Source organism: Homo sapiens, chromosome 10, assembly GCF_000001405.40.
Source record: "Homo sapiens chromosome 10, GRCh38.p14 Primary Assembly".
NCBI lineage: Eukaryota > Metazoa > Chordata > Mammalia > Primates > Hominidae > Homo > Homo sapiens.
This window is the reverse complement of record NC_000010.11, coordinates 99,768,817-99,783,190: the sequence shown is the minus strand read 5'-3', so window position 1 is coordinate 99,783,190 and position 14,374 is coordinate 99,768,817. Positions and strand designations below refer to the sequence as shown.

The 14,374-nt window shown below is 38.7% G+C and overlaps 1 protein-coding gene across 6 annotated transcripts in view; it reads right to left on the bottom strand.

Moving 5' to 3' along the window:
* Positions 1-551, bottom strand: part of ABCC2 (ATP binding cassette subfamily C member 2) — a 69,955-nt gene extending 69,404 nt beyond the window's left edge. For all 6 annotated transcript variants that reach the window (XR_945604.4, NM_000392.5, XM_047424598.1 and 3 more), the window contains exon 1: positions 314-551. Coding sequence is in view for 5 of the 6 variants with exons in the window: in NM_000392.5 (NP_000383.2) it covers positions 314-346 (33 nt within the window). In the remaining variant the exon portion in view is untranslated. The remainder of the gene's footprint in view (positions 1-313) is intronic.

The window sequence follows — 14,374 nt, the reverse complement described above, 5'->3', positions numbered from 1 at the left end:
AACAATTCTCCTTCCTCACACGGATTAAATTGGAAGGTTTTTACCTGTTTCTCTTTAGAGAAGGCAATTTTGCGACTAGCTAGTACAAGAGTCTGATATAAAAAAACATATGACAGAGAATAATTTGCATTACATTTCCCAGATCTTATATCCTCTGGAGATATTATGAATTATGCTTTCTAAAAAGCCTGAGCTTTAGACCAATTGCACATCTAACATTTCTGGTTCTTGTTGGTGACCACCCTAAGTTAACTAACTACCACTTGTTCTGAGTCTGAGAAGAGTCAATATGAAGATAAATGTAATTTCTCACCCAAAAAGTAGAGTTGCAGAACTTCTCCAGCATGATTCCTGGACTGCGTCTGGAACGAAGACTCTTCTATTAATATGATTGTGTTGTTTCTTCTTTACTTGTTTCATCAAAGAAAGTGGAACAGGAATTATCTACCATTCTGATGTTCTCCGTAAAGGATGACCTTTCATCCCAACCATTTAATCGTTAACCTTGCCTAGATGCATGTTACATTGAAACAGTGGATGGACATGTGACTAAAAAGCCCTAGGGACAGGGAGACTCACCAGTTCCCAAAGTACAAGAGGCCTCTGTAGGAGTGGCCATACATAAAAGGAACCACTGAAAGATGTCAACAGAGCTGGCCAACAAATCAAGAGTGCACAGTCTTTCATTTTCCTAAGGACATATGACCCACAAAGGGCAGCATCAGTAGAGGGGCAGGCACCCCTAAATGTGCAGTTTCGCTTCTGCTGCAAGATCTTAGAGTTTATAGAAATGTGAAATATCCTTCTTCCTTAGATTTTTAATTAAAAATATAGAATCTAAAACATGGTTTAAACATGATGTAAACTTTCTTTGAAGAAGTCAGGTTATAAAATAGCTTATCCAGTGTGAGCCTATATGTTATATACATAATACAGGCTTTCAAAAGTTCTATTTGCCTGAGAGGTAGTATGCCAAATGGGAATGAAGCCTTTGCCAGGCATTGTAAATATGATATCATGATAAAACATCAGGGCCAGAGGAGAGGGGTGATTCTGTAAACAGAGTGGTGGCATCAGTCGCTAGAAACTGTCATCGACCCAACCTTTTCTTTTTTTGTTATTGTTTTTTGTTTTTTGAGACAGGGTCTTGGTCTGTTGCCTGAGCTAGAGTGCAGTGTTGCCATCATGATTCATTGCAGCCTTGACCTCATGGGTTCAAGCGATCTTCCTGCCTCAGCTTCCTGAGTAGCTGGGACTACAGGCACATGCCAACAAGCCCAGCTAATTAAAAAAATGTTTTCTGTAGGGACGGGGTCTCACTATGTTGCCCAGGCTGGTCTCAAACTCCAGGCTTCAACAATCCTTCTGCCTTGGCCTCCCAAAGGGCTGGGATTGCAGGCATGAGCTACCGTGCCCCACCTGACCCAACCTTTTGTACTGTCACTTAAATTGCTTTAAGAACATGCTTTTTTCATGATATCATGAACCACCCATGCGGTATCCTAGCTAAAACATAACCACCCATGCAGTATCCTAGCTAAAAAAAATTGGCCTTAAATCTGGTCAAATTCTAGATCTAACTACCGGATTATAAGAAACACAGGAACATGCTAAAGGACTCCATTGGAATGCAATTGTCAAAATCCAGAATGTGGGAGATTCTATAGTGCAAATGATTCCATTTTTTAATAAATAAATTAAAAGAAGGAAAGGAGTCAAAGGAACTTACAAATTACAAGAGAATCAAGAGGCATATCAGCCAAATGTGAATTGTATGGACCTTGTTACTGATTTTAAAAGTCAAGTATACACATAAAAAAAATGAAAAGGCAGCATTCAGTGTGGGAGAAAATATTTGCAGACCATATAACTGATGAAGAGTTAATATCCACAATATACTATAAGGAACTCATACAACTCAATAGCAAACATACACTAACAAATTAAAAAGTGGGCAAAGGACTTGAACAGACACTTTTCCAAAGAAGACATATAAATGGCCAACAGGTATATGACAACTGAATCAACTTCACAAGTCATCTGGAAAACACAAATCAAAACCACAGTTAGATACCACCTCATACCTATTAGGATGGCTATTACAAAAAAAAAAAAAAAACAACAAGATAAGTGCTGGCAAGGGTGTGGAGAAAAGGGAACCCTAGTATACTGTTGATGGAAATGTAAATTGGTCTGACCATTATGAAAACATATGGCAGTTTCTCCATCATTTTCCATACCACTCACCAGAAGAGCCAGGAAAGGTCAGCTGTGGAACTAAGAGATCTCACTTGGGGCAGGGTGCACCTTTAGGCTGCATACTTCTCTTGGCACTGGTGGTAGGACTCGGAGTCCGGGGGAACTCTTGGTAAAACTTTGAGAAATATAAGGTCAAGGATTAACACCTAATTTTCTTTTTTTAATTTTTTTGTAGAGCCTCAAACTCCTGGGCTCAAGCGATCCATTCGCCTCGGCCTCCCAAACTGCTGGGATTACAGGCATGAGCCATCGTGTCTGGCCTAAACGTTCTAAGTAATCAAAAAAAGAGAGGGTGGAGAATCTAAATGTTCATCAAAACAAGTTGCTTAAAGTATAAAATATGTACTCATAGGGAATATTGAATGAGAAAAGCAAGTAAGGAGCCAGGAAGTCATGAATCTTTCCTAACAATAACTAAAAATCTGAACAAATAGAAAAATCAATAACTCTTCTTAGATCTGTAGAGAGATAAGGTTACAGGGCAAACTGAAGAGATAAACAAGAGAATATCAAAAATCACAATTTACTGGCGCAGAAATCTCAGCAGGGGCCGGGCGCGGTGGCTCACGCTTGTAATCCCAGCACTTTGGGAGGCCGAGGCGGGCGGATCACGAGGTCAGGAGATCGAGACCACAGTGAAACCCTGTCTCTACTAAAAATACAAAAAATTGGCCGGGCGTGGTGCCGGGCGCCTGTAGTCCCAGCTACTCGGAGATGCTGAGGCAGGAGAATGGCGTGAACCCGGGAAGCGGAGCTTGCAGTGACTTGAGATCACGCCACTGCACTCCAGCCTGGGCAACAGAGACACTGTCTCAAAAAAAAAAAAAAAAAAAAAAAGAAAAAAGAAAAGAAATCTCAGCAGGAACCAGGGCTAGGGCAGGAAAACCTGAACTGTAATTGAATTGCCGGAGGCCCAGTGTAGATAAGTTTGAGAGAGAAAAATTCCAGAGTGACTCAGCCATAAGGAGGGGATGATCTCCACACTTTCATGAGTTTACCCATAGGAATTCAAAGAGGTTCTCAAATATTGTTCTCTTTTTATTAGAGAAAAATCTCCTCCTGCTTCCATGTCCCTGGCAGAGGGGATAGGAAAAGTAACCATTTGAAATATACCTGGACACTCTATTCTTCTCTTCTAAACAAAGTCTGCCCTTGGGAAAAACTGTTTAAATAGAGCCTAATGCTCTTGATTTATAGGAGCCTAAATGATGCCGGAGAAGGGAAATAAGAACTCCAGTCTCTTCTAGCCTTCCACATGAAAACTGAAAATACCCAGCTGCAGCCCACTCTAGCCATCACGTCCCACCTAACAGGGATCGGGGCAGATAGGAACTGAGAAGCACTTGTGAAATTCAGTCTAGAGACACAGGTTTACTAAAAGACTGAGACCTCTTCACAGAACTATAGAACTCTTCCTCTCCCCCTCCCCCACTGTATACCACACTACTAAAGGTCTAGTTACAGCACTTCCTTTTACTCCGTATATCCTGTCCAGCTATGAAGAAAACATTGCCAGGCATACTAAAAGGCAAAAAAAAAAAAAGAAAAAAAAAAGGCTTTAAAGAGACAGAGAGCAAGCCTCAGAACCAAACTCAGATATGACTGGGATGTTGGAATTATCAGACCAGAAATTTAAAACAACTATGATCACAATGCCAAGGGCTCTAATGGATAAAGTAGACAGCATACAAGAACAAATGGGTCGATGTAAGCAGAGAGTTTAAATTCTAAGAAAGAACTAAAAAGAAATAAATACTAGAGATCAAAAACACTGTAATAGAAATAAAGAATGCCTTTGATGGGCTTTTTGGTAGACTGAACAAGGCTGAAAACAGAATATTTGAACTTGAAAATAACTGCCAAAACTGCAAAAATAAGTAAGACTATATAAACAGAATCTCCAAGAACTATGGGACAACTACAAAGGGTATAACATATGTGTAATGGAAATAGCAGGAAGAGAATAACCAGAGAAAGGAACAGAATAAATATTTGAAGCAATAATGAAAGAGAATTTCCCTCATACTAATTTCAGACACCAAATCACAGATCACAGAAGTTGAGAGAACACCAAGTAGAACAAATGCCAAACAAACAAACAAAAGCCCTACAACCAGGCATGCATATATAAGTTGCAGGAAATCAAAGATAAAAAATTCTGAATGAAGCCCGGGGAAAAAGACCTTACTTGTAGAGGAGAAAAGATGAAAATTATGTCCAACTTTTCCTCAGCAAGCATGCAAGCAAGAAGAGAATGGAATGAAATATTTACAGTGGTGAGAGAAAAAAGCCACCAACAGCCAGCATTCTGTACCCACAAAATTATTCTTTAAAAGTAAAGAGAAGCCAGGCACAGTGGTGCGTGCCTATAGTCCCAGCTATTCAGGAGGCTGAGGTGGAGGGATTGCTTGATCCAAGAGTTTGAGTCCAGCCTGGGCAGCATAGTGAGACACTCTCTCTCTCTCTCTCTCTCTCTCTCTCTGTCTCTCTCTCTCTCTATATATATATATAAAATAATAATAAATACATAAATACATTCTCACACAAACAAAGACTGAGGGAATTTGTTGCCAGTAGACCTGCCTTGCAAGAAATGTTAAAAGAATTCCTATAGAGGAGTGGTCCCCAACCTTTTTGGCACCAGAGACCAATTTTGTGGGGAATGGTTTCAGGATGAAACTGTTCCACCTCAGATCATCAGGCATTAGATCTCATAAGGGTGTGCAACCTAGATCCCTCACATGCACACTTCACAATAGGGCTCACACTCCTATGAGAATCACATGCCTCTGCTGATCTGACAGGAGGTGGAGCTAAGAAGCCTGCTGCTCACCACCTGCTGTGCAGCCCTAACAGGCCTTGGACCAGCACCAGTTTGTGGCCCAGGTGCTGGGGACCCCTGCTTAAGAGAGAAGGAAAATGATATAGGTCAGAAATTTGGATTTACATAAAGAAAGGAAGAGCACTGGAGAAGAAATAAGGTGAAATAAATTATTTAATTCTAACTGACCTAAAAAATAGCAGTTCACTCAAAATAATAGCAACAATGTATTCAATCATGCATATTTCTGTGTATATTTTTAAATGCTTATGTATAACAAAAATGAATGACAGCAAAGACATAAGGGATGGGAGGGAGAATTAGGATTATTTTGTTATTATAAGGTACTCGCACTACCTGTAAAGTGCATAGTGTTCTTTGAAAGTGGACTTGGATTCATTGTAAATGTGTATTTAAAACTCTATGGCTGGGATCCTGGGCACTTTGGGAGGCTGAGGTGGGCAAATCACAAGGTCAGGAGTTAGAGACGATCCTGGCTAACATGGTGAAACCCCGTCTCTACTAAAAATACAAAAATTACCTGGGCGTGGCGGCACATGCCTATAATCCAGCTACTCAGGAGGCTGGAGAATCACTTGAACCCGGAAGGTGGAGGTTGCAATGAGCCGAGACGGTGCCACTGCACTCCAGCCTGGCGACAGAGCTAGACTCCGTCTCAAAAAGAAAACCAAAAACAAACAAACAAACAAAAAACCTCTAGGGCAACTGCTAAAAATGTAAAAAAGAAAAAGAGGAAGTATAACTGATATGCTAAGAAAGAAGAGAAAATGTAATCATATAAAACAGTCAACTAAACCACAAAAGTGAAAAAAAGAGTGGAAGAAAAAATAGGAAAAGAGAACAAAGACAACAAAGAGAAATAGTCACCACAAACATGGTAGATAATAATCCAACTGTATCAATCATCATATTAAACATCAATAGTCATAATATACCAGGCAATGGAATATTATTCAGTGCTAAAAAGAAATGAACTATTGAGCCATGAAAAGATGTGTAGGAAACTTACATGCATATTATTAAGTGAAAGAAGTCAACCTGAAAAGGCTACATACTGTATGATTCCAACTAGACGGCATTCTGGAAAAGTCAAAACTAGGGAGACAGTAAAAAGATCAGAGGTTGCCAGGGGTTAGCAGGGAGGGAGGAATGAATAGGTGGAGCTCAGAGCATTTTTAGGGCAGTGAAATTATTCTGTATGATAACTATAGTTGTGAATAGATGTCATTATAAATTTGTCCAAACTCATAGAATAGAGAAAACCAATAGTGAACCTTAGTGTAAACTATGGGCTTTGTGTGATAGTGTTATGTCAATGTAGGTTCATCAGTTGACACAAATGTACCACTCTGGTGGGGGCTGGTGATAAACTGATGATGAGGGAGGCCATACATAATGGGGGCAGGGCATTATGTGAAGTCTCTATACTTTCTGTTCAATTTTGCTGTGAACCTAAAACTGCTCTAAGAAATAAAGTCTATTTTAAAAAAGCAAGTGGTAGAATAGTGTGATTCCATTTTGATTTAAAAAATTATGTATTTACACTTAACAGATTCAAACAATATAAACGTTGATTCAAATAAACTATTCACAGTGGTTATTCTTGGGGTGGGGGAAGGCAGGGGCTTCTGAGCCTTTCTTTTTTACATTAATGAATGTAAAAAATGAAATGAATGAATATGAAAGTTCCTGCAGCCCAAAATGGGTTCTAAAAGGACTGACAGAAGCATTGCAGAACCATGATCTGTAATCTTCTGGAATCACTGAGAATCATAAAAGCATCAAAAGATGGGACGAATGCCTTGATATTTTTAATAGGGATAGGAAGGCTGTACAATGAAACACTGCAAAACATAAATAAAGGAGTCAGGAAACCTGAATTCTAAACTTAGCTCTGCTGGTCCTATGTAAAAAGATTGATCCCAAATCTCCTCTTAATGGTCTCAAAACATCTCTTCTTAATGACTCAGTGTGGGTGTGCTGCAGTGTAAATCATGGATTGCACAGAGATAATTCAATAGAAAAGAATGACTCATCTACATGATTCAGGAGAAAATATGCTGTATCATTTCTATTTAGCAAGCAAATGTTAACTAATTAAGTTTTGCACTTAAATAACTTTGAAAAATCTACAAAAGTTCAATGTCCAAGATAAGCAGAGTGGTCCACTTTTGGTTAATCATTAGAGATAGATTTAATAAGGATTTTCATTCTTGTGTAGTATCTTGGAACACATATCCAAATTTAAGTGAGAACAGTAAAAACATTGTTTTCCCTTCACATTTTTTAAATTGAGCTAGTAATTCATGTTCCTATAAAAAATTAAAAACTGTAACTAGGAAATAATAAAATAATTACTCCCAAATTCTCCCCCCAAGAATAATATTAACATTTTTATACTTCCAAAACAAACAAAAATCTTTTTAGAGGCCGGGCGCAGTGGCTCATGCCTGTAATCCCAGCCCTTTGGGAGGCCGTGGCAGATGGATTGCCTGAGGTTGGGAGTTCGAGACCAGCTTGACCAACATGGAGAAACCCCATTTCTACTAAAAATACAAAATTAGCCAGGCGTGGTGGTGCATGCCTGCAATCCCAGCTACTCGGGAGGCTGAGGCAGGAGAATGGCTTGAACCTGGGAGGTGGAGGCTGTGGTGAGCCAAGATCATGCCATTGCACTCCAGTCTGGGCAACAAGAGCGAAACTCTGTCTCAAAAAAAAAAAAAAAAAAAATATATATATATATATATATATATATATATATATATATATATATATATATATATATATATAGTTTTGGAATATCCAGGGACCAAAAAAGACATACAGATAATTGAATTAACATGAATTTTAAAAAAAACTTTCTTCTATTGTAAAACTATTCTTCCTGTAATTATTAAAAATTGAAATACAGTGAAATTCTTTTGAATAAATTCAAAGAATATGTTAAATAATGAATGAACTCATTGAATTAGACTTAGGTTCTATAAAAAAGAGTTAACTATTCAAAGTTTTAGATAATTTTTACAAAGAGTATATACTTTTACAAATAATGAAAGTTATCAGTGGTACAGAATGATGTTCCTTGTATATTTAAAGGATAAACTTTTAACTTGTGACAAACTACCGCAAATGGGCTGAATTGTTCCGTATTTTTTGGGCAACAGGATATCAACATAGAAAATAAATGATTAGGCCGAGCACGGTGGCTCTTGCCTGTAAATGCAGCACTTTGGGAGGCTGAGGCGGGTGGATCACTTGCGGTCAGGAGTTCCAGACCAGCCTGGAGAACATGGCAAAACCCCATCTCTACTAAAAAATACAAAAATTAGCCAGGCGTGGTGGTGAGCTCCTGTAATCCCAGCTACTCAGGAGGCTGAGGCAGAGAATCACTTGAACGTAGGAGGCAGAGGTTGCAGTGAGCCGAAATTGTGCCATTGCACTCCAGCCTGGGTGACAGAACAAGACTCTGTCAAATTAAAAAAAAGAAAGAAAGAAAGAAAGAAAGATTAATTTAGGTCTTTACTTCATATCATCCCATACAGTACATCCTTGATAGGTCATAAAATACCAGAAAAAAATGAACTAACATAAAAAGATGCACTAGACAAAAAAATACTCTTCTGAGTACTGGAAACAAAGGATGATATTATAAAAGAGAAATATGTATACATAATTTTTAAAGAGAATGTTATAAAACAAATATTAATATTGAAAGCAGCCAAACTGAGAATATATCTGATATAAATAACATGGGGGGCAATATAAACAGTAAATTATCACATGGAAAAACATATAGATAGCTTCACAAGCAATTAAATACAAGTAAATTATCAAACATTTCGGAAAGAAACTGTTAATAGTGGTTAATTGCAGAAGAGCTAGAAGACTGAAAAAAATAAGCTAAAAAAAACCCCACACATATAAGGGCTGGATGCAATGTCTCACGCTTATGTAATCTCAACACTTTGGAAGGCCAAAGCAGGAGGATCACTTGAGACCAGCCTTGGCAACATAGCAAGACCCCAACTCTACAAAAAAAAAAAAAAAAAAAAAAAAAAAAAAATTAGCCAGTTGTGGTGGTGCATTTCTGTAGTCTCAGCTACTTGGTAGGCTAAAGGTGGAGGATTGCTTGAGCCCAGGAGTTTAAGGTGGCAGTGAGCTGATTGTGCCACTGCACTGCAGCCTGGGTGACAAAGCGAGATCCTGTCTCTATTTTTTTTTTCTTTTCAGAAAGCCCAGACCTTACAAGACACCTTGTCTCTCGATCTCTCTCTCTCTCTCTCAAAAGAAAGAAAGAGAAATATAAGATGGTGAATGTTGTAGGATATTAGCATATTAGTTCCCTGAAAGCATCACCAACACAACCTGTTGATCAAAACAATCTGTTGATAACACAAAGCTGTGTTTATTTTATTTTATTTTATTTTATTTTTTTTTTGAGTGTTTCTTTTTTTTTTTTTTTTAAATTTTTTTTTTTTATTATACTCTAAGTTTTAGGGTACATGTGCACATTGTGCAGGTTAGTTACATATGTATACATGTGCCATGCTGGTGTGCTGCACCCACTAACGTGTCATCTAGCATTAGGTATATCTCCCAATGCTATCCCTCCCCCCTCCCCCGACCCCACCACAGTCCCCAGAGTGTGATATTCCCCTTCCTGTGTCCAAGCGATCTCATTGTTCAATTCCCACCTATGAGTGAGAATATGCGGTGTTTGGTTTTTTGTTCTTGCGATAGTTTACTGAGAATGATGGTTTCCAATTTCATCCATGTCCCTACAAAGGACATGAACTCATCATTTTTTATGGCTGCATAGTATTCCATGGTGTATATGTGCCACATTTTCTTAATCCAGTCTATCATTGTTGGACATTTGGGTTGGTTCCAAGTCTTTGCTATTGTGAATAGTGCCGCAATAAACATACGTGTGCATGTGTCTTTATAGCAGCATGATTTATAGTCCTTTGGGTATATACCCAGTAATGGGATGGCTGGGTCAAATGGTATTTCTAGTTCTAGATCCCTGAGGAATCGCCACACTGACTTCCACAATGGTTGAACTAGTTTACAGTCCCACCAACAGTGTAAAAGTGTTCCTATTTCTCCACATCCTCTCCAGCACCTGTTGTTTCCTGACTTTTTAATGATTGCCATTCTAACTGGTGTGAGATGATATCTCATAGTGGTTTTGATTTGCATTTCTCTGATGGCCAGTGATGATGAGCATTTCTTCATGTGTTTTTTGGCTGCATAAATGTCTTCTTTTGAGAAGTGTCTGTTCATGTCCTTCGCCCACTTTTTGATGGGGTTGTTTGTTTTTTTCTTGTAAATTTGTTTGAGTTCATTGTAGATTCTGGATATTAGCCCTTTGTCAGATGAGTAGGTTGCGAAAATTTTCTCCCATGTTGTAGGTTGCCTGTTCACTCTGATGGTAGTTTCTTTTGCTGTGCAGAAGCTCTTGAGTTTAATTAGATCCCATTTGTCAATTTTGGCTTTTGTTGCCATTGCTTTTGGTGTTTTGGACATGAAGTCCTTGCCCACGCCTATGTCCTGAATGGTAATGCCTAGGTTTTCTTCTAGGGTTTTTATGGTTTTAGGTCTAACGTTTAAATCTTTAATCCATCTTGAATTGATTTTTGTATAAGGTGTAAGGAAGGGATCCAGTTTCAGCTTTCTACATATGGCTAGCCAGTTTTCCCAGCACCATTTATTAAATAGGGAATCCTTTCCCCATTGCTTGTTTTTCTCAGGTTTGTCAAAGATCAGATAGTTGTAGATATGTGGCATTATTTCTGAGGGCTCTGTTCTGTTCCATTGATCTATATCTCTGTTTTGGTACCAGTACCATGCTGTTTTGGTTACTGTAGCCTTGTAGTATAGTTTGAAGTCAGGTAGTGTGATGCCTCCAGCTTTGTTCTTTTGGCTTAGGATTGACTTGGCGATGCGGGCTCTTTTTTGGTTCCATATGAACTTTAAAGTAGTTTTTTCCAATTCTGTGAAGAAAGTCATTGGTAGCTTGATGGGGATGGTATTGAATCTGTAAATTACCTTGGGCAGTATGGCCATTTTCACGATATTGATTCTTCCTACCCATGAGCATGGAATGTTCTTCCATTTGTTTGTGTCCTCTTTTATTTCCTTGAGCAGTGGTTTGTAGTTCTCCTTGAAGAGGTCCTTCACAACCCTTGTAAGTTGGATTCCTAGGTATTTTATTCTCTTTGAAGCAATTGTGAATGGGAGTTCACTCATGATTTGGCTCTCTGTTTGTCTGTTGTTGGTGTATAAGAATGCTTGTGATTTTTGTACATTGATTTTGTATCCTGAGACTTTGCTGAAGTTGCTTATCAGCTTAAGGAGATTTTGGGCTGAGACGATGGGGTTTTCTAGATAAACAATCATGTCGTCTGCAAACAGGGACAATTTGACTTCCTCTTTTCCTAATTGAATACCCTTTATTTCCTTCTCCTGCCTGATTGCCCTGGCCAGAACTTCCAACACTATGTTGAATAGGAGCGGTGAGAGAGGGCATCCCTGTCTTGTGCCAGTTTTCAAAGGGAATGCTTCCAGTTTTTGCCCATTCAGTATGATATTGGCTGTGGGTTTGTCATAGATAGCTCTTATTATTTTTATCATGGTAAGGAAAAACACTACCTTGACATATGTTGGTCTTTTTACTATGAACTTATTTAAGTGCATAATAACAAATTCATTCTTATAATTTATATTTGGACTATTATTATAGATAGTTTTGTGAATTGAGAACATGAGAATGGCCAAATTAGTGGGCCCAAGAAAATTTGCTGAACAAATATCTTTAAGCCTACTGCCAAGAGTGTAAAATATGTATTTCTCTGTGTGTTTATATATGTTCAGACATACAAGTAGAAATTTTCAGAGTGCTTTTATTAGCACTTAAAATATTAGCACTGTAAAATATGTATTTCTCTGTGTGTTTATATATGTTCAGACATATAAGTAGAAATTTTGAGAGTGCTTTTATTAGCACTTAGCTTTTCAGCTAGTTTTTTTTTTTAACTTGTTGTTTTGGGACATATTTGAGAGAGATTACCAAGTGGTAATTTGCAAAAGGAGTTTGCAGTAAGAGGTCTACATCTTATTGAAAGAATATCTTACTTTGAGCTTAAATTATTTTACCATTGAGGTTGCATCCACAGAGCATCGAGTACAGTGCTGGGTACAAGGATATGGGCTAAAGTGTGCTATTCTCGTAATCATGACTTCTGACATGAGAGACAACTGTGTTGTATCATGTATCCAGGAGAAGGAGATTCTGTTTCTTTTGACCTATAAAGAAGGTAAGGGCCATTACTTCGGTATCTTGTAAGTGGACCCTTGTGAATGAGTTGAAAGATCTCCAAATAGGATCACTTATTTACAGGTGCCTTATCTTCACAGAAACTATAATTGACTTCTAAACAATTTCAAGGTACAAAGTACTTTATGAAGTCGACTGAACTCTGAGTGGCTTATGTAAGCTGTATGGTGGTTTAAAAGCCATTGAACTCAGCCAACCCAAATGACTTAACTAGTAAGATAGTTTTCCTAAAGATAGGATATCTCTTGCAAATGACTGTCATACTGTAACAGAGCTTTGGAAGGTTCTTAACCCTACTAACAAAGGTCACTAGCAACTGCTAGAGGGAAAATGAACTTATTCTCCAATTATATTAAAATTCTTCTAAAGGGTATACCCAACTTCGGCTGGGCATGGTGGCTCACGCCTGTAATCCCAGCACTTTGGAAGGCTGAGGCGGGCAGATCACTAGAGGACAGGAGTTTGAGACCAGCCTGGCCAACATGGTGAAACTCCGGCTCTAACAAAAAAAAAAAAATTAGCTGGGCATGGTGGCATGTGCCTGTAATCCCAGCTACTCAGGAGACTGAGGAAGAAGAATCACTTGAACCCAGGAGGTGAAGACAGCAGTGAGCTGAGGTCATGCCACTGTGCTCCAGCCTGAGCGACAGAGCAAGGCTTTGTCTCGAAAAATAAAAAATAAAAAAAAAAAAGGGTATAACCAACTCGAAGTGACTTGAATGAAAATACTTATTGGTTCAAATAACCAGAACCCACAAATAGACCAGTTCTCAGGCTTGACTTACTCTAGTGGCTCTGCTCCAACTTCCTCTCATTCTTTGTTTTGTTCTCTTTCGCCATCAGCGTAATCCTCAAATAGGTGGGTGAGATGGCTGCAACAGTTTCAGGACTCACACCCACACACCATAACATATAGTAAAAGACGGAAAAGGTCATTTTCAGTAGGTCTCCCAGAAGTAGAATCCACCAGCAAACTTCTCCTGGTATCTCAGTGGTGTAAATTCCTGAATCAATTCCTTACAAGGATGAGGTTACTCTTGGATTAATCAGGCCCATCCTGAAGCTGTGGTAAGGTCAGCCTTCCCTAAAGCACATGGGCTACATGGAAGAAGAGTGATTTCTAGGACAAAACCAGGGTTGGAAGAGAAGGGAGAGATGAAGTCTGGACAGGAAACCAATGATGTACGTTAGAAATAAACCTTTAGTTTTATTGTAGTCCAGATTCAGGACAATGTGGGAAACAATCTCTACTATTTATTGTCATATTGTAAAAAGAATTTGTAGTGGCTTAGAAAAACATGTAAAATATAACAAGATACAATGTGAGTGAAGAAAAAAAGAATAGAAAAAAGAAGATAAAACGAGGGACAAGCCCATTATACAAAATTCATTCAATAGGATCCTGTCCACTTGCTACATGTGGGCTGCAATTTTGACTCTGAGCTTCCTTCCTATGTACCAATGAAAGGAGGGAAACTTAATCAGAGACTATATCAGTGAGGCTTCTTTTGGTTGCAAGGGACAGAGATCCAAATCAAACTGGTATAAACAAAAAAATGAAAAAGAAAATGTATTGGCTAATTTAATAGAAAAGTCCATGAATGATCTAGCTTTAGGCGCAGATGGGTTCAGAGTCTCAAACAACATCCTTAGGACGTTTGCAACTGTGTTGGTTTCGTTCTCAAGTAGGCTCTTCCCACTTGGTGGTAAAAATGGCTACGAAAGCTCTAGACTTACATGGTCCTCATGACCAGTAACCCTAGCAAAAAGAGTGTCTCTTTCCTGACAGCTCCAGGAAAAGTCTTTCGTAGGATTCTGAACAGCCCTGTTTGTGTTGTGTTCCCAGCTCTGGACCAATGAATATGAACAAAGGAATGAGGCATTCTGACTGGCTAGCCAATTCCCCTCCCATGGGCAGGGGAATTAAATCTATG